The sequence below is a fragment of the Homo sapiens genome, chromosome 1, assembly GCF_000001405.40.
Source record: "Homo sapiens chromosome 1, GRCh38.p14 Primary Assembly".
In the NCBI taxonomy this organism is placed as follows: Eukaryota; Metazoa; Chordata; class Mammalia; order Primates; family Hominidae; genus Homo; species Homo sapiens.
Genome location: NC_000001.11, coordinates 237,407,426 through 237,429,337, shown reverse-complemented (window position 1 = coordinate 237,429,337; position 21,912 = coordinate 237,407,426). Strand labels below are relative to the sequence as shown.

General features: G+C 35.2%; 1 protein-coding gene across 18 annotated transcripts in view; it reads right to left on the bottom strand.

Moving 5' to 3' along the window:
• The window catches only part of RYR2 (ryanodine receptor 2), a 791,805-nt gene that overhangs the window by 404,651 nt on the left and 365,242 nt on the right, over window positions 1-21,912 (bottom strand). For all 18 annotated transcript variants that reach the window (XR_007062490.1, XR_002957299.2, XM_006711802.4 and 15 more), the window contains 2 exons: window positions 12,215-12,289; window positions 6,090-6,246 (listed from right to left, as the gene is read on the bottom strand). Coding sequence is in view for 16 of the 18 variants with exons in the window: in XM_006711802.4 (XP_006711865.1) it covers window positions 6,090-6,246; window positions 12,215-12,289 (232 nt within the window). In the remaining 2 variants the exon portion in view is untranslated. The remainder of the gene's footprint in view (window positions 1-6,089; window positions 6,247-12,214; window positions 12,290-21,912) is intronic.

The following is a 21,912-nucleotide window of genomic DNA, read 5'->3' as shown; positions in this document are numbered from 1 at the left end:
TGTCCACCGATTCTTCTGTGTTCCTAGCCCGGCCACTTGGTCAAGTGACTCATCCTCCCTGCGTTGGTTTTCCCCATCTGTAAAATGGGGGTCCTGATACTCAGTGAGATCAACTAGAGAGAATGCTCAGCTCTGTTGGCTGACTTACAAGGAATCACAGAATGGCAGCAATTCTTTTATTTAAAAAGCCAAGGAGTGTGGGAGGACAGGGTCCCTGCTTCCTGAACACCCTCCCAAGCTCTGAGGGCACTAACTGTTGGCATGTTCCCAGTTCCCAGTCCCGCTCAAGTCAGCCCTGCAATATTCCTGAGTGAACAAAATGAATGTCCAATTAAGGGTAGGGCTTCTGCGGCAGCTCTCCACACACCATAAAGCCCTCAGTGGTGTGAGGTGTGTGGTGTGTGTGCGTATCATGAACTGAGAAAAGGTGACTTGATATCTCCTAATACTAAGATTTTCTGTTTGTTTCTCCTCGTAGCTCCTGGAGATTTTGTTTTATAAATACTAGTACTACCCTATATTTATTTGTTATGTAAATTTAACAACTTACAACTTCAGTGACTTGTATTTTTTTTTTTTTAATGTTCCAGGATACATGTGCAGAATGTGCAAGTTTGTTACATAGGTATAAGTGTGCCATGGTGGTTTGCGGCACCTATCAACCCATCATCTAGGTTTTACGCCCCACATGCATTAGCTATTAGTCCTGATGCTCTCCCTCCCCTTGCACCCCCGCCCCACCGAGAGGCCCTGGTGTGTGATGTTCCCCTTCCTGTGTCCATGTGTTCTCACTGTTCAACTCCCACTTATGAGTGAGAACATGTAGCACTTGGTTTTCTGTTCCTGTGTTAGTTTGCTGAGGATGATGGTTTCCAGCTTCATCCATGTCACTTCAAAGGACATTATCTCATTCCTTTTTGTGGCTGCATAGTGTTCCATGGTGTATGTACCACATTTTCTTTATCTGGTCTATCATTGATGGGCATTTGGGTTTATTCCATGTCTTTGCTATTGTGAATAGTGCTGCAATAAACAGGTATATGTATATCTTTATAATAGACTGATTTATATTCCTTTGGGTATATACCCAGTAATGGGATCGCTGGGTCAAATTGTATTTCTGGTTCTAGATCCTTGAGGAATCACCACACTGTCGTCCACAATGGTTGAGCTAATTTATATTCCCAACAACAATGTAAAAGCGTTCCTGTTTCTCCACAGCCTCACCAGCATCTGTTGTTTCTTGACTTTTTAATAATCACCATTTTGACTGGTATGAGTTGGTATCTCATTGTGGTTTTGATTTGCATTTATCTAATGATCAGTGATGTTGAGCTTTTTTTCATGTTTCTTGGCCACATAAATATCTTCTTTTGAAAAGTGTCTGTTCATATTCCTTGCCCACTTTTTATTGTTTTACGAATACTATCTTGCACTCTTCAATACCATGCAATATCCTTTTTTGTCTCCTGCAATGCTTTAGTTTGCCTGAATTCCACCTCATCTGATATTAAGAACAGATATCTTTTTTTTTTTTTTTTTTTTTTTTTTTTTTGAGGCAGAGTCTTGCTCTGTTGCCCAGGCTGGAGTGCAGTGGCACAATTTAGGCTCACTGCAACCTCTGCCTCCCAGGTTCAGGCAATTCTCCTCCCTCAGCCTCCCAAGCAGCTGGGATTACAGGTGCATGCCACCACGCCTAGCTAATTTTTGTATTTTTAGTAGAGACAGGGTTTCACTGTGTTGGCCAGGTTGGTCTCGAACTCTTGACCTCAAGTGATCCACCTGCCTTGGTCTCCCAAAGTGCTGGGAGTGAGCCACCGCACCTGGCCTGTTTGTATTTTCTTGGTATTCCACTAGCCATCTTTTTATTTCCAATCTTTCCAAATAAAGTTGTTTTAGATGTGCCTCTTAATGTCAGCATAATTTATGCTGCATGCCCAAATATGAAATTATTTTAATTTTAAATTGTGATACAGTCCATTTATATATATTGATAAGCAAATAGAGTGGGCCATATTTTAGGTTTTCACTGTGTCATATTTTAGGTTTTCTGTTTTCATACCTTTTTTTAGAGCCATTCGCTCTGTGGTCTCATTTTCCTCATTGTCTGCATGCCTGCATCTGTGTTTATGTCTCTGACTCTTTAGTAACACTTTACTTCTTTTTATTAGGCTGGATTACGCATGATGAAGAAGGTAGCGTGTTCCTCTTTCTCTCACCAACTTTTCTCTCTTCCATCATCTTGTTTTAGTAAATGGTATTATATTTGAGTGTTTCCTTTTTGGCTGTTAAGTATTTATGCTTCCATTACTTGAGTTTTCAATCTTAAGAAGATCTTTGATGTTTGTTTCATAGAAGGCAACTGGAGCACCTACCGTACCTTTCACTCTTCCTCTTTTTCCTCCAATTTTCGTTAGATGTATTTTGCCTGTTAATTTTTTTATTTTTAGTTTTTCTATAAAGTCTTGGTCTCACTGTGTTGCCCAGGCTGGAATGCAGTGGGCATGATCATAGCTCATTGCAGCCACAAATTCCTGAGCTCAAGAGATCCTCCCACCACAGACTCCCAGCTTTTTAAAATACTCAAATTTGGCAAATCATTCCAATGTCTTCCACTGTGATGTACCGGTTCATGTTTTTCTACTTCTTCGAGATTTTATTTGGGTATGTTATATTTTGCTGGAAGGATATCAATTTCTTCTAGTTTTTCTAATTTATTGTCAATAAGCTGAATGCCATTTTAATAGGTACCACCTTCTTTACTTGAAAAGGGTTTCTACCATCAAATAATTGGTTCTTCTTTAGTGGGTTGAACTTTTTTCTTTCTGGACGGAGGTGCTATCAGTAGATAAACTAGCAAATTCCCACCCCTCTGCTAGCTAGATTTAAGAAAGAAGCCCATGTCCCCATAATGGGATTAATTGTGCTTTCCAGTTACAGAGACAAGGAGCAATTCTGGCCCACTGTAGAGGCCCTCTAAGAGTCCACAGAGCAAATATATAGATACAGATGCTTTGCAAGGATAATGAGGTTTTACCAGCTGTGCCTCTCTATTTTCACAATGGAGAATAAAGACCTACCCTGACTGTCTTTCCTGGAGCTCTCCAGTTAACTCATAGAATCAGAGGCATCTGCTACCATTCGGTATAACCCAGAACAGGAGTTGAAAGAGAAAGGCATTGGGAATGTTCATTCAGGATACTGTCTTTTCAGAATTACTTCTGGTCTCCCCACACCTTATTTTGGTTTGAGTTTTATTTATAATAATATATATATATGAATATATGTATATAACTATAGAAACAACCTAAATGTACAATAAAGGGTAATGATTACATAAAGAATAATGATCGCATAAATCAGAGTGTATACATACATATTGGGATAGTATGAATCTGTCAAAAATATAAAATATAAAAATACCTACTATACATCCTCAAATGAAAGCAGAACACCAAACTATAGTCATATTTTGTAATGTACAGTTGATTCTTGAACGACATGTATTTGGACTGTGCAGGTCCACTTATACATGCATTTTCCTTCATCTCTGCCACCCCTAAGACAACAAGACCAGCCCCTCTTCTTCCTCCTCCTCCTCCTCAGCCTACACAACATGAAAACAAGGACCAATTTTGTTGATGGTCCACTTCCACCTAAGGCATAGAAAATATATTTTATCTTCCTTATAGCTTTTTTTTTTTGAGACAGAGTCTTGCTCTATCGCCCAGGCTGGACTGCAGTGGCACGATCTCAGCTAACTGCATCCTCTGCCTCCCGAGTTCAAGCGATTCTCCTGCCTCAGCTTCCCGAGTAGCTGGGACTGCAGGCACATGTCACCACGCCCGACTAATTTTTGTATTTTTAGTAGAGACGAGGTTTCACCATGTTGGTCAGATTCACCTGCCTCGGCCTCCCAAAGTGCTGGGATTACAGGTGTAAGCCACCACACCCAGCCTTCTTTATAGTAGTTAAGTTTTTGGAGAGTCAAAATGTAGATTTCAATTGCATGGGGGAGGGGTGTTGGTGATCCCTATATCCCCATGTTGCAAGGTTGTGTGCGTTTACACAGCAAAAGAAAAATGATTAGGAAGGAAATTCATCAAAACGTTGATATTCTGCATAATTAGGTAGTTCTTACTCCTACTTTTTTTTGTATTTTCTAAACTTTCAAAGACCAACATGTACTGCTTTCAAAATCAGAAGAAATGAAATATGATTAAAGCACTAAAAAACTTTTAAGTAGTTGTAAATAACTACTTTTAATTTTGTTACAATTATCACTCTAAATAATGAATATGTTTTCTTGTTAGACATTATTTATATGAAATACATTATTAAGAGTATAGTGAAATAGTTTATTTTCATAATTAGCAAAATTAATGTTCTCTATTTCCTGCACTCACTGGAGCAATCCAGGCCATAGACCTACTGTAGAAATAAAGTGGTCAGTGGCCTCCAGTGACAACTGCAAATAGAAGTTCTGTGGGACACCTTCAAAGTTCAATAAATATTTATGTTTATGCTGCCAATCCTATGCTGTGACAGGACACCATTATAAGATTAATAAAATGGAATTTATTAAGCATACAGAAAATTGGTCTTTTAGGGTAAACGCTTTACCTAAATAGGAAATAATCATTTGTTAATGCTTGTAAAATATTTAGAAGATTTTACCTAACATATAGATCTCTAGAGAGGGGCAAAGTAAAAATTTAAACCTAATCCAGTATTGAAAAAGCATTGTAGTGCATGTATTGTAGTTCTACTAAGCCAAATCATGACCTTGTTTTGAATATATTATACATGGTACTTAACATCTTTTCCTCATCTAATAACATTGTTATCAAAAATCCAACTTGAATTGGGCCAGCATACAAAATATGGGAAAGGCGATTGAATACTAAGAATTTCCTAGCAGTGAAAAAACAAAGTAATACGTTTTTTTCTTTTCAATGAGCCCTGAATAACACTGTGAAGATGCCTATACCTAGATGAGTATGTAGTAATTGCAGAAATACAAAGTCAAATCTTTATCTATTTAAAAGAACAAAGTTTTGCCTTTCTAAGATGAAAGCTAGTTAGTAGTTTAATATTGTTCCAATCATCTTTCCCAAGTTTCACAATCTTCATTAAATTATGAACAGAAATATGCAATTGATATGGTTTGGCTCTGTGTCCCCACCCAAATCTCATCTCAATTTGTAATCTCCACGTCTCGAGGGAAAGACGTGACTGGATCATGGGGCGAGTTTCCCCCATGCTGTTCCCCTGACAGTGAGTGAGTTCTCGTGAGACCTGATGGTTTTTTTAAGTGTTTGACGCTTTCTCCTTCACACTCACTCTCCTGCTCTCTCTCTCACCTGCCTCCATGTAAGACCTGCCTGCTTCCCCTTCTGTCATGATTGTAAGTTTCCTGAGGCCTTCCCAGCCATGCGGAAGTATAAGTCAATTAAACTCCTTTTCATTATAAATCACCCAGTCTCAGGTATTTCTTTATAGCACTGTGAAAATGGACGAATATAGCAATTATCATAAAAATGATTCAATAGGGTTAAGGATGAAGGTCCGCATATAAGAATGGATGTATAAATGTATCTTTGAGACACAGATTCCAGTGTGCTTTATCCTCACACTGTAACCCAAAAACATCCCAATATCTGTGGTCACTGTATACTGTCAATGCTTAAGAAAACAGGAAGGAGCTGGATGGATGTGTTTTAAGAACTGTAAACGACATGAAACACCTTTCATTTGATGACGTATAATAGGTATTTTCATGTTTTATATTTTTGACAGCTTCATACTATCCCAATATGTATGTATACAGTATGATTTATGCAATCATTACCCTTTATGTAATCATTACCCTTTATTGTACATTTAGATTGTTTCTATAGGCAGGTTTTAATGGTTTAGAAAAGTCAGTTTTACCAGAGAGGAATGTATGGAAGAGAAACTGGGAATTTAGAAATACACATAAGACATACTTACATCATTTATTTTCTCATTTCTTTTCTCCTTTCTAACATCAAAGGAAATATGACCGGGTAACATTTATAGGAAACCCAAAATATTTTCTGTCTCACCTTGGAAGACCGGAAGGTAAATGCTGTTGATTTTACATCAGCTTTCTCTTTGTCCATGAGTAGAAGGTTTTTGTCTTCCATGAGACTCAAGTATTTTCCTGTTGTGACATGGCGTAGTCGGAATGGCTGTCCCCATCTTATGTGGCTTCCACTCCACCTAATGAAAACAGTTAGGACTTGATCCAATAGCACCCACAATCACAGAAGGAGTAGCTATTAAAACATATGTCGGACAATGAACAGTCATATATATTGTCTTAATGTTCTCAAAAAACTTAGGATATTAGTGATATTAATTTCATTTCACAAATAACAAAATGGCTATTCAGAATGATAAGTAATACACAAAGTCGCAAAGCTTATAGTAAGAAGAAGTTAAATGTAACTCAAGGTGTTCTGACTTAAATGCCGTACCATCCACACAGCGCCCTATTCTATGCAAAGATAACAAAGAACTTGTGCTCCAAGTCACCCTCTAATACAGATTAGTCAAGCTCTAATGCAAATAATGCAGGAAGTATAACTCCAAGTAATATTTTAGCATTTACTAGTTAAAAACTGTTGCTGTATTTGCACAGACTTGAAAAACAGTAGTATTGTGGTCAACGTCTAAGTATGATTAATTGGAACTCATATATATAAACTGAAGTCTATAGTTAGACTATATTTACCTGACAAAAGAAATGTATTCTTATACTTTACATTTTAATATTGTGGAACAATTATATTATTAGAACGCGATGAACAAAAAAGATAAGCCAAGAAAATGAAAATTCTAAAAAAGTCAGGAAAAAATGTAATAAACAGAAAATATAGAATGTTTCAGTAAAATGATAAGTTATGATCATTAAAAATTTGCTTTGAAGGATACTGAATGTTGTTAATGCGCAGAAATGATAAACGTTTGAGATGATGGATATGCTAATTGATCTGATCACTATACATTACCTGTATCAAAACATCACTATGTACCCCATAAGTATGTACGATTATCACTTGTATATTAAAAATAAATAAATGACTTTCAGGTAGGATAAAATAGAAAAATCAAAATACAAGCTGTTCTTGCTTTGCACATTACCTTGTTAACTGAAGGTTGTGTATTTAGGAGCTTTAACCATGCTAAGGTGCAGAGTGATGGCACAGTTCTATCGTGCATGACTTTCCCTTAACACCGTACCATGCAAAGTGAGGACAGGCCATATATATCATTGATAAGACACAAGCTTAAGATCAAAGCACGCAAGAAAACTAAAAACGAATGAGTAGAAAAGATTCAACAAGCAAATAAACCTCAAAAGGAAATGACAAATTTGATATTAGATAATTCCAATTCAAGGCCAAAAAGCACAAAAGGTATACAGCCAGATATGTTATGAAGAAAAAGTGTATACTCTAAAAATAATGAATGTTGTAAAGCTTCATATGTCAACAACAAGCAGAAAATGAAACATAAGGATAATTTTTTAAAAGACAGTTTACACTGGATGATTTTGTCAAAATACAATGAGTCAAAGAAAAAGTAAATATATGGAGATTTTCAATATAATCTTATTATTTAATAAACTTGGGTTCATACAGACTTATTAAAAATGTTTGTGTTCTACAAATTGAGAGTACTTGGTTCAAAGCTAGCAATCTTTTAGTAAATTATAAATCAATTTAATGTTGTTTTCCTAACCTGGATTTTTGACTTGAGATGTTAGCATAGAAAATTAGCAGTAGAATGTTATAACAAGTTCATTTTCACATGAATTTGTTTATAAAGACAATTAATTTGGGAAGCCCCCCAATTAAGTTAATAACCGTATACTAATAAAACCAGATAACACGGTATTGTCTTAAGATGAAATTAAAGTTTGTTACCAATAATAGCACATTAAAGTATTTCTATTTTGGAAATAAACAAGCTTTTTAAAATCCTCCTCTTATAAAATTAAGTGTATTGTTTGCAAATACTATGAAAACCACAATTATCATTATTATTATTATTACTATTATTTTTATTTTGAGACGGAGTCTCGCTCTGTCACCCAGGCTGGAGTACAGTGGCGCGATCTTGGCTCACTGTAAACTCCGCCTCCCGGGTTCAAGCGATTCTCTAGCCCCAGCCTCCCGAGTAGCCAGGACTATAGGCGCCAGCCACCGCGCCCGGCTAACTTTTGTATTTTCAGTAGAGACGGGGTTTCATCATGTTAGCCAGGATGGTCTCGATCTCCTGACCTTGTGATCTGCCCGCCTCAGCCTCCCAAAGTGATGGGATTACAGGCGTGAGCCACCCTGTGCCCGGTCACAATTATGTTTAATATTTGTTTCCATTATTTGAAAAACAATGAAATATTTGGAAATATGTTTAATATTTGTTTCCATTATTTGGAAAAACAATGAAATATTTGTAAATAATGAATCACTTCTGAATAACAATTCATCTTAATCATCATGGAACACACCTTCATTTTCAAAACAGCACAAAATTTTAACCAGATATATACTATTTGCTAGCGTATCTGGAAGATGTTCTGGGCTCAGTTCTATTCAATAGAACTCATATGTACCAGTGCTCCTTTGAAGTCTCTAAGAGGATTCTGGTAGAAATGGAATGAATGTGGCCAGTTTTTGGCAAAACCACTGCATAGTCTAAGTCTAAGCACATTTGCTTTCATTTCCAGCCACTCAAACTAGCCTGGTCTCACATGCCCAGACCCCCACCTCCTCCCAAATGAGAGGGCAAGGCAAGAAAATCATATGTAGTAAAAACTAAAATTGGCAATAGTAATGGAGTTTTATAAAGCAATTTCCTATGGTAACATCAAAAAACTGTGCCCTACGTATTATCGATATTTACTCAAAATTACCTCAAAGGGAATTGGGGAATAGTGAGTACTTCTTTATGATATGTCACCCTTTAATTTTGTTTATTTGCAACATAAAAAATAGAACTTGAACTCTATGTAATTCATAGTTTTTATTTCCATGAGTATTCCTATTACAGGAACTAACACATATCTCACTTACAATATCCCTATAATTTTGCCTGGAGTAAAATATAGGAGAGCATTTTCTATTCAATTTAACTCCCTACATTAAAACCATTTATTAAAAAGGCCATGATACTGAAAAACTTTTGACAATAGTTTCATGTGTAAGAGTATGCAGTATAAAATATATAATGAATGGGCCACATCAACTACAACAAATATATAGTATAGGATCTCACTGGAGAAAAGAGAAGACCGAGTATCCCAAATATTGAATATAAACATTGGCATTAGGCAATATAGTTCTATCACAAACAAAAGCAGGATCTTCACTATAAATTGCTAAATATAATGCAAAATTAGTAATTATGTGGCCATTGCATATAAGACATGTAAACTTCCTAGAATGAAAGGGATTTAATTAAAAAAATAAAAGCTCCTAAACTGAATGTAGCTTAATTTACATATCTACAATAAAGCCAAAGTAGTTTAAAGAGTCAGTATAATCTGAAAAACTTCTTAAAATAATGATATTCCGTACATATGAATCTCCTACTTTCCTACTGCTAGACAGGAAGGTGAAATTTAATCAAGGGTCAGAGAGAAGAACAAAACATCTCTCTTTAAGCTGCTAAATGGTTGAAAAACTACCTGCTCTGCCTTCTCTGTGGTATTCCCCTCAGTGACATCTGGACTATGAGAAGCAAGTAGCATTCCCTTTCCCCAGTGGCTGACCATAAGATCATCTCCTTTCTATATATTGATTATCTGTAATCAAAGTGAAAATAAACTCCAAACTTCTATTTCAAAATACAAACATAAGCAACAGTAGAGAGACAGGATCAAGACTACTTAATTCAGAAGTTTGAAGAATAATCTAGATTTATGTAGTCACAGCTCATCAATAGTATCGATAACAATAAAAACAAAGTCCTATCAGGTTTTCAGAAGCTTTCATGTTTTTTTTTTAACCAAAAATAAGACAGATGTAGGGTCTCTCTCTACAAAAAAGATAAATATTTCTTTAAGCACTCAATCATGAAGTATAGGTATGTCTCTAAATTTTGAAAACACATATTCAATCTGTTTTACAAGGTCAATACAACCTCTCGAAACTGCACTTATAGTGACAATTTAATTACATATATAATTAGTAATTATGTATACAATTAATTTGTATAAACACTTCTTTACTCTTTCATTTTTATAATACACAATGTAAAAAAATATGAGTAATACTTAAAATCCCTTTCCTTAAATTATCTGAATAATCACAAAATATATAAAAGCTATGAGTTTTCCTTTGTTTGCCTTAGAAGTCTGTCTCTTCTTTTTCCATCTCATTATGATATGCATTTCCAATAAAAATTTTCTTTTAAGTTTGGTAGTTACCAAAAGTTTTAATATTTAGGTAGATTTGATCAATTGTGCATTTATATCAAAGACATTTAATGTTTTCAATTAGTTATTAATGACAATATAGAAGAGCTTTTTAAAGTTACAGACTAACATAAGAAATATAAGAAATAAATTTATATAAATATTTTTGTTGCAGAGGAGTAGGATGTAGTGAAAAGGAAAGACTGAATAATATATATTTTTATTGTTAAAGAAGACCATTTTCAATAAACAAAGGTATTAAACCACAGCATTACTTACAGTCAATTGGATACTTTGAAAAGGGTGATGTAACCATTTTATTTTAAAGTATCACTATTTAAAATACACTGGAAGTTATATTCTATGCATCTAAACTGATAATGAAAGGATTTCTATGTCAACCTCACAGTGTTCAAGAATGGACAAAGTTTTTCAAAATCATTGCATGGGACACAGGAGCAGAAACGACTGAAGGCCTCTAAACTATTCTCATCACCATTAGACAGGCAATAATCTCAAAATAAAATGTCTATAAAGGTAGTTATACTAGGCCGAGCGTGGTGGCTCACACCTGTGATCCCAGCACTTTGGGAGGCCGAGGCTGGTGGATCAGGAGGTCAGGAGATCGAGACCATCCTGGCTAACACGGTTAAACCCTGTCTCTACTAAAAATACAACAAATTAGCTGGGCGTGGTGGCAGGTGCCTGTAGTCCCAGCTACTCGGGAGGCTGAGGCAGGAGAATGGTGTGAACCCGGGAGGTGGAGCTTGCAGTGAACCGAGATCGCGCCACTGCACTCCAGCCTGAGTGACAGAGCAAGACTCCATCTCAAAATAAATAAATAAATTAATTAATTAAATATAGTTATACTAGAGTAAGATAGCCCTCATTCCCACCCATAGAGTCTGTTATCCTAAATCAATAATGTCTTTAAAGCCCAATACAAATCAATTATCATCCTAAATCAATAAAGTCTTTAAAACCCAATATACTAGGAAGTAAACACATTGAAAATTTACTGCTTTTAGGCAAAGGACTAAAGCTTCGAATTATTTTTAAAAATTTTAATTCTACTTAAAATAGTTCAAAATGACACCTTTATCATCATATTGTATTCATTTACAGGAACTAAAAGGAAATATTCAGACAGTTAAGTCATCAGAAAAAAATACTTTATACATTTATGTTTCATAAATATTAATATATAAAAACTCTCATTACTATAATGAATACACAGTGACTTTTATTGCAATGCAGATTTGTACTTAGCTATCAAGTGATTTTTAAGTAAATATAGTGACTTCCAGTAATGACTCTGTCCTACGCTCATGTTCAAGTTTCCTGTTTTAAATGTACTTTTAGAAGGTTAAATCCACAGTCTGTCAGATCTGAGATGTGCGACAGGCTTGCAAAGAACTTGTCGTGTCTCCAAATCTTACATCACTCTGTCCTAGTAGCCATTTCTGCCAAGAGATGCATGGTCTGGGATGAGATGATGTTAGAAAAACAAATGAGGCTAAAGACAAAAGCAGACTGTACAAAATTATTGCTTATTTCTCAGGTTTGCTAGCTGGTGAACTGAGGCTAAGGAATGATAAAGGTAGGTGGAAGGAAATAGACAAAAGAGAAACTGTCCACCACTTTCTCGGTGTTTCCTTTGTTCGCTTGCTTGCTGTAGTTTTCAGCATCACAGGCTGACACAGAAGCACAACGCTGAGCTATTTGGTACACTTGGTGCATTAGGCTGTGTTTAGAAGTTCTACTTACGCAACTCTTAGCGTCTCTAGTCTCCAAAGGGAACGTGCATGAACAGACACAGCGCCACCTTCATAATGAACAGTTCTGTTTCAACAAACAAACAAAAGCCCAAATGTGAGTTAAACATGTTTCATTCTTTGGACTCTAATTTTTTGAAGCTAATTAGGAGAGAAAAGCAAATGGCCTGTGAGTAAACAGTTAAAGTTATACTTTTTTGGCAGGAGACAGTATAGCTGGAAATAAAAATAACCAAAATAACAGTAACAGTGATCAACCTAAGTTTTCCCTGAATAAACAATGATTTAAACATATTCTCTCTTGCCATTTTCTCCCTCTAATCTCATTCATTCTCTCTCTCTCTCTCTCTCTGTGTGTGTGTGTGTTTCTTCCCATCCCTCCCTCCCAGTGAATAGATTTCACCTTACTCATCTAACTTAGGTCCATGAAAGTACTCTGTGATAAGTTTAGGTATAGTTTAATATATCATTATTTCAACATATGTATATAAATATTTGCACTTCCAAATTCTGTTTTAGATTATTTAAAGCATTTTAAAGAAATGTAAGAACACAATTCTTAATATTTTAACACAGCAATCTGCAATTTATATCAAAATATGAATATCCAAAAAGTCACAAAAAAGGAATTTCTTTGGATGCATATCACATGCACCCAAATTCCAAAACCCTCAAAATAATGTGTTAATATGCCATACATAATGCTAAGTAATTGCTGTAAGTATCCAAATTCATGACTGCACCAACGCCTTGAGATTATTTTGGAAACCAAAGCTGATGCACATGCCCTCTTTCTTTCCTGAGTGTTAACTGTCTTCCTCTCTATAGGGTCTGTCTTATGTAAACACATGAAAGCCTATCCTGCCTCACAGACAGCAGTAATACCATGTCTACTCCTGTCAGTTTCCAGTGGGCTCCAATCTTGCTTCCAGACCCATTTCTCCACTGAAACAGACTTTGCTAAAGTCATCAAGTGACCTTCATGTTACCAAATCCAATAGACTTACTTTCTTTTTAACACTGTGGAAACTCCTATTGTCTTGAAAGTTTTTCTAACACCATTCTCACCTGCCGTTCCCTACCTGTTTAGATAATCCTTCTCATTCTATCTTTATTGTGGAATGTTTCAAATATACGTAAAGAGAATATTAAAATAAATCCGCATACACCTAGCAGAAGACATCAACAATGATCAACATAGGGACAACCGCGTTTTACCTGTAACCTCTACTTACCCCTCCACATGCAACTCTGAAAATAATTATTTGATATTATGAAATATCTAGTCTGTGTTTGAACTTCCCAAATTGCCTCACAGATGTTTTTAATTTTCCCCTGTTGCTTTTTCAAATCCAGTTCCAAAAGAGATACACTTATCAGTTAGGGGTCTTAAGTTTCTTTTATTCTAGAATAGTCCCCATTCCTCTCTTGTCTTCCCTTCTTGCCATTTATTTGGTGATAATCAGTCTGTACCATATGTCCTGGAGGACTTTCTACATTCTAGATTTGGCCAACAGCCTTCCTATGGTGTTTTTTAACACATACCTCTAAATTGGTAGTGAGATCTAGAAATCTAGAAGCTTGTCCAAGTTTGAATTTTTGGCAAGAACATTTCACAAATTGGTGTTTCTACTTCCCATTATAACACAACAGGGGTACATAATTGTCTATTTCTTTAGATAAAATTTAATCAGTTAGTTTGGGATCACCCTAATCCATCCATTAGGACCTAAGAGTTTTAGGTAGTAAGTTGGTGCAAAAGTTATTGCAGTTTTTGCCATCAATAACCAGTGTCCACAGCAGTGATTTTCAACTGTCGCTGCATAAAGTACTCACATGGATAGTTTTTAGAAATCCTTATGTGCACCCTCACCAATGACATTAAACAGATCTGGAGTCAGGACTTTAAAAAACTCTCTCGCTGGTTGCAATGGGAAGCCAAGCCTTGGAAAGTACAGTCTAAGTAAGTTACTCCACAGCAGCACTGTTGATGTTTGGGGCTGCGTGATTCTCTTTTGGGCTGTCCTGTGCATGGCAGGATGTTTACAACCCTGCCCTCTACCAACTAAATGCCACCAGTAGCCTCCCACCAGCTGTGACAACCAAAAGAGTTCTAAGAGTTCTCCAACATTGTCAGATGTCCCTTTGGGGACAAAATCACCCTCAGTGTAGAGCCACTGACATAGGTAAGCGGCTCTCAAGTCTTCGGTGAGGTAGAATCCTCTCCCTTTGAGGGTTTGTTAAGACCCAGATTGCTTATCTCACTTAACATACGTCCTCTAGGCTCAACCATGTTGCTAAGAATGACAGAATGTCATTTAAAAATTACAAGTAGATTGGAGAGATAGGTTCTAGTATTTGATAGCACTATAGCATGACCATAGTTAACAACTTAGCATATATTTTCAAATAGCTAGAAGAGAGGATTTTGAATGTTCCCAACATAAAGAAATTATAAATGTTTGCATTGATATACATGCCAACGGCTGATTTGATCATTCTATACTGTGTGTATGTATTGAAATATCATATTGTACCCCATAAATATGTACAATTATGTGCCAATTAAAAATAATTTTGTGCCATATATCGTATTCTACCCCATAATATGTACAATTATGTGCTAATTAAAATAATTTTTTAAAAAGAGATTGCTGGACCCATCCCCAGAGTTTCTAAGTGACCACATCTTAGGGTGAGGCCCAAGAATCTGCAGTTCCAACAAATTCCCAGGTGATGTTGATGGTCCATATTTTGAGAACCACTTGACTAGACCCATTATTTCATTTTGGCAACATACTTAACCTTGGTTGTATATTAGAATCACCTGGAAAGCTTTAAAAAGTCCAATGTACAGATAACACTCAGACTGATTAAGTAAGACTGAATGACAAAATATAGACATTGTGCACGTCTGTGTGTGTATACACACATATATAAATAGACACACTCACACAAAGACACAGCTTTTTAAATACATTTGACCTTTAATAAGGGTCTTTTACTTGACCACAAAGAAAATGTTATCAGATTTTTAAAGACTTTTACTCATCGTATTTTCTGATCATAAACAAAAAAATTAGAAACAAATACTGAAAAGAAAAGAAATTGACAACTTGGAAAATGAAGAAACTTCTAAATAATTCATGGGTCAAAGAGGGAAACAAAATTATACTCTATCTAGAATATAATGAAGAGAAAAGCACTTCTTAACAAGTCTATGATTCACAGGTAAACTTTGAACACTTTTAATCTGCAATCCTTTAATTATTAAATAAAACATGTAAATAAAGAATTGCCTGAAGACATATAGAGAACAAAATAAACCAACAGAAAATAGAGGAAGAAACTCAATGATATACTGTTCAATAAGATGCAAGAGTGTAAATTATGTACATTTTCTGTGCAAGTTATCACTAAAAATCTATCATATATGTACATATGTGAACATATATCTGTATGAGCATGGAGAAAGTTGTCAAATAATGAACATCAAACTATTAGCATTAATTACGTTAGAGGAACAATTACATAAGGTAATAAGGTATACAGAAATTAAGTTCAAAACATTTTTAAAAGGTCTCTAAGATACAAATAGCATGAATAATATATCTTTGTAAAGTTATATGGATTTATACAATAAAGTGAAGAATTATCACGCAAATGGTTTACTTTGACAACTTTACCTTTTGAATTTAACAATGATCTTTTATAAAAATCTAATGGTATTTTTATTAAAATTTTACATGACAAATATAAAGTCAAAAGGAAAGTTGAATCCTCCTTCCTACCTGAAATATTTTTAGCTCTATCTTGAAGGTTCTTGTGCCCTGAATTGTTCCTCTTCATATTTTTTTAAAAGTTTCATTGGCAGGTATAGAGAATCTGATGACTTCTTTTGATTATTTATTGCCAGGCGGGGAATCTTTGCTATTACATAGTTCCCTACGTAAATTACACGGCATGTGCAGAGCGTCAATGGTTGTCTAATCAAGTCTTCATGGGCTGTTTCAGACTGAAAATTGGCACCACAATATCAAGATCTTAAATAAATAGGAATTTCAGTCCTTCATAAAGGACTTTAAGGACACTCAAACTTATTTAGAAATCAGCCCACCTAGAGGAATACACCTGCTCCATTAAGGGATTGTCCCTTTTCCCTGCAATGCATTTCAAGTATCAAATCAGAGTCTAGGAGGACAATTGTTCTAAAGACCAACAAGTTTGCCAAATGGTATTACCAACTTTGAACTCATACAAATAAACGATTATACTCAGAGCAAATGCCCTTTCCAGCTGGATGACTGAAAAGGGAGAAAGATTCTCTAAGAAATTACACAGACTGATAGCAACAGCACCTTTTGAGGTAATCATCACAAGGGATTTTAATGCAAATGGCAGGAAGGATGCCAGAATTCAGGAAGGTCGACGGATATGAAAATACAAAAGAGCTCATGCAGCTCTTTGTTAACTGGAGACTATTTTTGCAATGTACTAAAACAGTGTTACAGCTACTGAGAAAAAGAGTATGTGCTAAAAGAACTGGACATTGTTATTATTTTGAACAGAATTTTGTTTAAAAACTTTAATCTCATAAACCAGACAAAGTCAAAGTCACTGTAATTTCACTGAATAGGAATGTTAAAAATATGCACATATAATAACCAGCAGTATGAGCTTGTTCAACAGTACTTTGAAAAATTCCAGACTTAAGGCTGTAAGTTATGCCTACATAACACATTATCCCACAATATAATACATTTCATTTAGGAACTCATATTTCAGGCTGATCGCATAAAACTGCCTGAAGAGGCCCTTTAAGGTTATTCTAAGTACAAATTCTTCCCAGTAAACCATCAATTCCGCTGCTCATAAGTATTATAATATTGTCCACTGATATAAAATTAGTTATTTTTGTATTTTTGGCTATAAAACACAATTTGAGTCTTATCTCAGTTGTCAAGCCACTTGTTTCTCGGTAAAAAGCAGGCACTTTGACAGCTAGGATAGCTCATCTTTAGAATCTAAGGCCCAGAAAAGACTAGCATTAGCATATTAATAAAAGCACAAATCCTTACGAGTTCTTCATAGCTTGACAGTTGGGCATATATTTACAATAAAATTTTATAGGGCACACAATTCTAATTAGTGGACTTTAGTACAGAATCATAAAATACATTATTAATGAAAGATTGCACATTGTAAGCGACACCTCCAACCTGCAAGGAAACCACTTCCTTTCATTGTGAGTGCTGCCACAGGGCTCTGTCAACCAATGACATCACAGTTACTCTCTTGTTTGTTCTGCAGGGCAACTAAAAGTTGATGACTCACTTTCACATTTGATTGTTATTAACTTTCTTAAGATGTCACTTCTTTGTGTGAACTTGTGCAAGCTGTTGACCTCTCTGTCTCATTTTCTTCATATGTAAAATGGGAATAATTTTTACTGGGTTACTGTGAAGAATGAATGAGTAATATAACCCACGTAGACCACTTGGAAAAGTCCTTGCACAACAAATGTCAGCTCTGAGGATGCAGATGGTGATGGTGATGATCATGACCATGATTGTGGTCATAATTTATATTCAATCCTTCCATATAGGGAGTTAAGATTCAATAATATTTTGCCTGAATTGAATGGATTGTTGCTAAATCAATCATATTATACACTTGTTGATATTCAAAGTCCCTAAATTATAAAATCGCTCGGGACAACGTAACTAGGAAATGAAGCCTACCTATTAATAGCTTCATCATAAATCAGTCACTTCAGTGCTAGCCTCCTCCTGCAATTCAATGGCAGGATCTCAGCATTCTTTTTTTAAAAAAATAATAAACACATTATTTTATACTGTTTCTATGGGTCAGGAATACAGTGTATCTTAACTAGGTGCTTCTTGCTTGGTGTCTGCCTTGGAGTCTCTTGTGAGGTTGCAGTCAAGTTGTTAGCTAGGGCTGTAGTCACTGGAGGTGACCTCTAGCTACCACCATTCTACTCTCTCCTTCCATGAATTTGAATTCCACACATGAGTAAAATCATGCAGTATTTGTCTTTCTGTGCCTGGCTTATTTCACTTAGCATAATGTCTTCCAGGTTCATCCATGTTGTTGCAAATGACAGGATTGCCTTCTTTTTAAAGGTTGTATAATATTCTATTGTGTATGCATCGCAATACATTTGTAAAATGACACTATAAAAAATTCAAGCTCTGAAAAGAATGCATACATTATATAGATTAAAAGAATACTTCTTTTCCTACCTTCTCTCTTATTTAAATCCTCTTCTGAAGTCACCTGCTTTGTCACCCTTACTGTAGCTCCAGCACAGGGATCCACTGTCTCGAGAACTGTTGGACTTGACACCCACCACTATGACTTTCATTGCCACCATGAAAGGGTGGTTTAAAACAGGAGCAGACCTACTTTTTCTGTAAAGGGCCAGTTAGTAAATATTTTCGGTTTTGCGAGCCATATGGTCTCTGTCTCATTATTTAATTCTGTTATTATCATACAAAAGCAAACATAGACAATATGTTTTTAAAAATAGGATGGCTGTGTAACAATAAAATTTTATTTGCAAAAAAAGGCAGTGGGCTGGATTTGACCTACTGCCTTGATTGGTTGACCTTAGATCTAGAATATTCTACCCATATTATTGGTCATTTTAATCTCAGAGAAAGCTAGCTGGATAAAATCCAGGGTCTAGGGTCTTTCATAAATTGAAGGAAATGTCTTACCTTATCTATCTTGAATAACATTTCTAAATCTAGAATTCATATCTACATTGTGACAGATCTTTTTTGCCCTTAAGAGAAATATAGACAAATTCACAGCGCTTCAGAGCACTTGGCTTATCCAAAAAAGCCACATGAAAGAACAGCTGGGGCATTTTTCAATCTACTTTTGTTTCTTCAACATAACAAAGCCCTGACAAGGTTAGTGCAGTAATGCTGAATAGCTTACATAGTCTATTATTACTACAGTATCACGGACACTTTGAGAGGGGCTCTAAGTGAACTTTATTTTTCTCTTTTTTACATTTACCATGACTTTAGAGCAATGGGGAAATGATACAGAACTATTCAGAGTCCTATTTTCTGAATACATAACATTCTGGTTTCATTTTTTGTCAAGAAAAAGGGTAGAGTATATAACAAATACTGAACACCAGAAGAGGTAAATAATAATAAAAGACAATTCAATCAGTCACATCAAATTTTGATCATGAATCCATTACATATGTTAAAAGTAGAGAAAACAGTTTACCAGGCTCTGAAGATTTCCTTGCCAATTCATATTATAATTACATGTTTCTGTAGAATATAATAGGGACAAAGAAGAAGCCATATCAATGTATTTTAGTTACTGCAATGCAGGGAAGTAATAAAATACTACTTCATTTATCCAAACTCAACTTTCAATGAATATACCATAGAATTTCTGTGATATACCACAGAATTCAATTCTCCCTTCAAAAATCAGTAGTTATTTCATAATCTAAACAAAATATATTATAAATGTCATAACAGGTATTTCTAGAAATCACTGTTTTTTATTTCAAAAGGAATGTGCTGTTTGAATACAAGTATGATAGCAAAAATGAATATTTTCTCCTTTTGTATACATAAGGTAATTAAGATATCACTGAACCATAGTATAATCCATCATATCAACATGCTAAAGAAAAAAATCATTGATCATATCAATAAATGAAGAAAAAGTATTTGACAAAATCCAGTGTCTATTAATAATACAAATTCTCAGCCAATGAGGAATAGAAGGGAACTTCCTCAAGTTGATAAAGAACATCTACAAAAAATGCCTACAGCCAACACCATACTCAATCATAAGAAACTTGTTGCTTCTATATCAGGACCAAATCAAGAATGTTCTCTTCACCACTACTACTCAAGACTGTAACAGAAGTTCTAGATAATGCAATAACATAAGAAAAGGAAATTAAATGTATACAGACTGAGAAGGAAGAAATAAAACTTTTTCTTCATAGATGACATGATTATTTACCCCAATCTCAAAGAATCAAGAATAACAACAAAAATCTCCTGAAACTAATAGACAATTATAGGAAAGTTTCAGGACATTAATACACAAAAATCAATTTCTTCTATACCAGCAATGAACAACACGTATTTAAAGTAAAAATATTATTTATCTTAATACCAAAAAATTAAATGCTGAAATACAAATCTAACAAAATATGTACAAAATCTAAATAAAGACAACTACAAAATTCTGATTTAAAAAGTCAAACAAAATCTAAATAAATTGAGAGCTATTCCATGTTCATGGATAGGAAGACTCAATATTTCAAGACATCAGTTCTTCCCAATTTGATCTATAGTTTCAAAGCAATCACAGTCAAAATCCCAGCAAGTTATTTTGTAGATATTAACAAACTGATTCTAAAGTTTATATGAGAAGTGAAAGACATAGAAGAGCCAACACAATATTGAAGGAGAAGAACGAAGTTGGGAGACTGACACTATCTGATTTCAGGACTTACTATAAAGCTACAGTATTCAACACAGTGTGGTATTGGTGAAAGAACAGACAAACAGGTCAGTGGAACAGAATAGAGAGCCTAGAAATAGACCCACACAAATATAGCACATTGATCTCTAACAAAGAATCAGTAAGTCAATGGACATTCTCCCCAAATAGTACTGAAAAGACTGGATATCCATTTATATATATATATAAAGAATCTAGACACAGACCACGCCCTTCATAAAAATTAACTCAAAATGGATCACAGACCTAATACAATGGAGAAAATATAGTCTTTTCAACAAACAGTGCTGGAACAACTTTATACACATGTGTAGAAAAACTAATCTAGAACACACCTGACACCTTCCACTAAATTTAGGTCAAAATGAACCATAGGCCTAAATGTAACACAGAGAACTATAAAACTGCTGGAAAATACCATAAGAGAAAATCTAGATGTTCTTGCATTTGACAATGATGTTTTAGATATCAAGAGCACAATTCATGAAATAAAAAATTGGTAAGTTGGGCTTCATTAAAATTAAAAACCTCTGATCTGCAAGAAAACACTATTAAGAGAATAAAAAGACAAGCCAGAGACTGAAAGACAATATTTGCAATCGCATATCTGGGAAAGGACTGGCATCCGAAATATGTAAAGAACTCTTAAAATTCAACAACAATTTGGCCAGGCGCAGTGGCTCACGCCTGTAATCCCAGCACTTTGGGAGGCCGAGGCAGGTGGATCACGAGGTCAGGAGATCAAGACCATCCTGGCTAACACGGTGAAACCCCATCTCTACTAAAAACACAAAAAATTAGCCGGGCATGGTGGTGGGCACCTGTAGTCATAGCTACTCTGGAGGCTGAGGCAGGAGAATGGCGTGAACCCAGGAGATTGAGCTTCCAGTAAGCCGAGATCATGCCACTGCACTCCAGCCTGAGCAACAGAGCCAGACTCCGTCTCAATTTAAAAAAAAAAAAAAAAAAAACAACCACAATTTAAAAATCACCAGAAGATCTAAGACATCTCATCAAAGATATACAGATGACAAATAAGCATATAAAAAGATGCTCAATGTCATATGTCAACATTTGCAACTTGAGGTATCACTATTCATATGTTACAATGGCCAAAACCTGGAATACTGCAACATTAAATGCTGGAGAGGATTC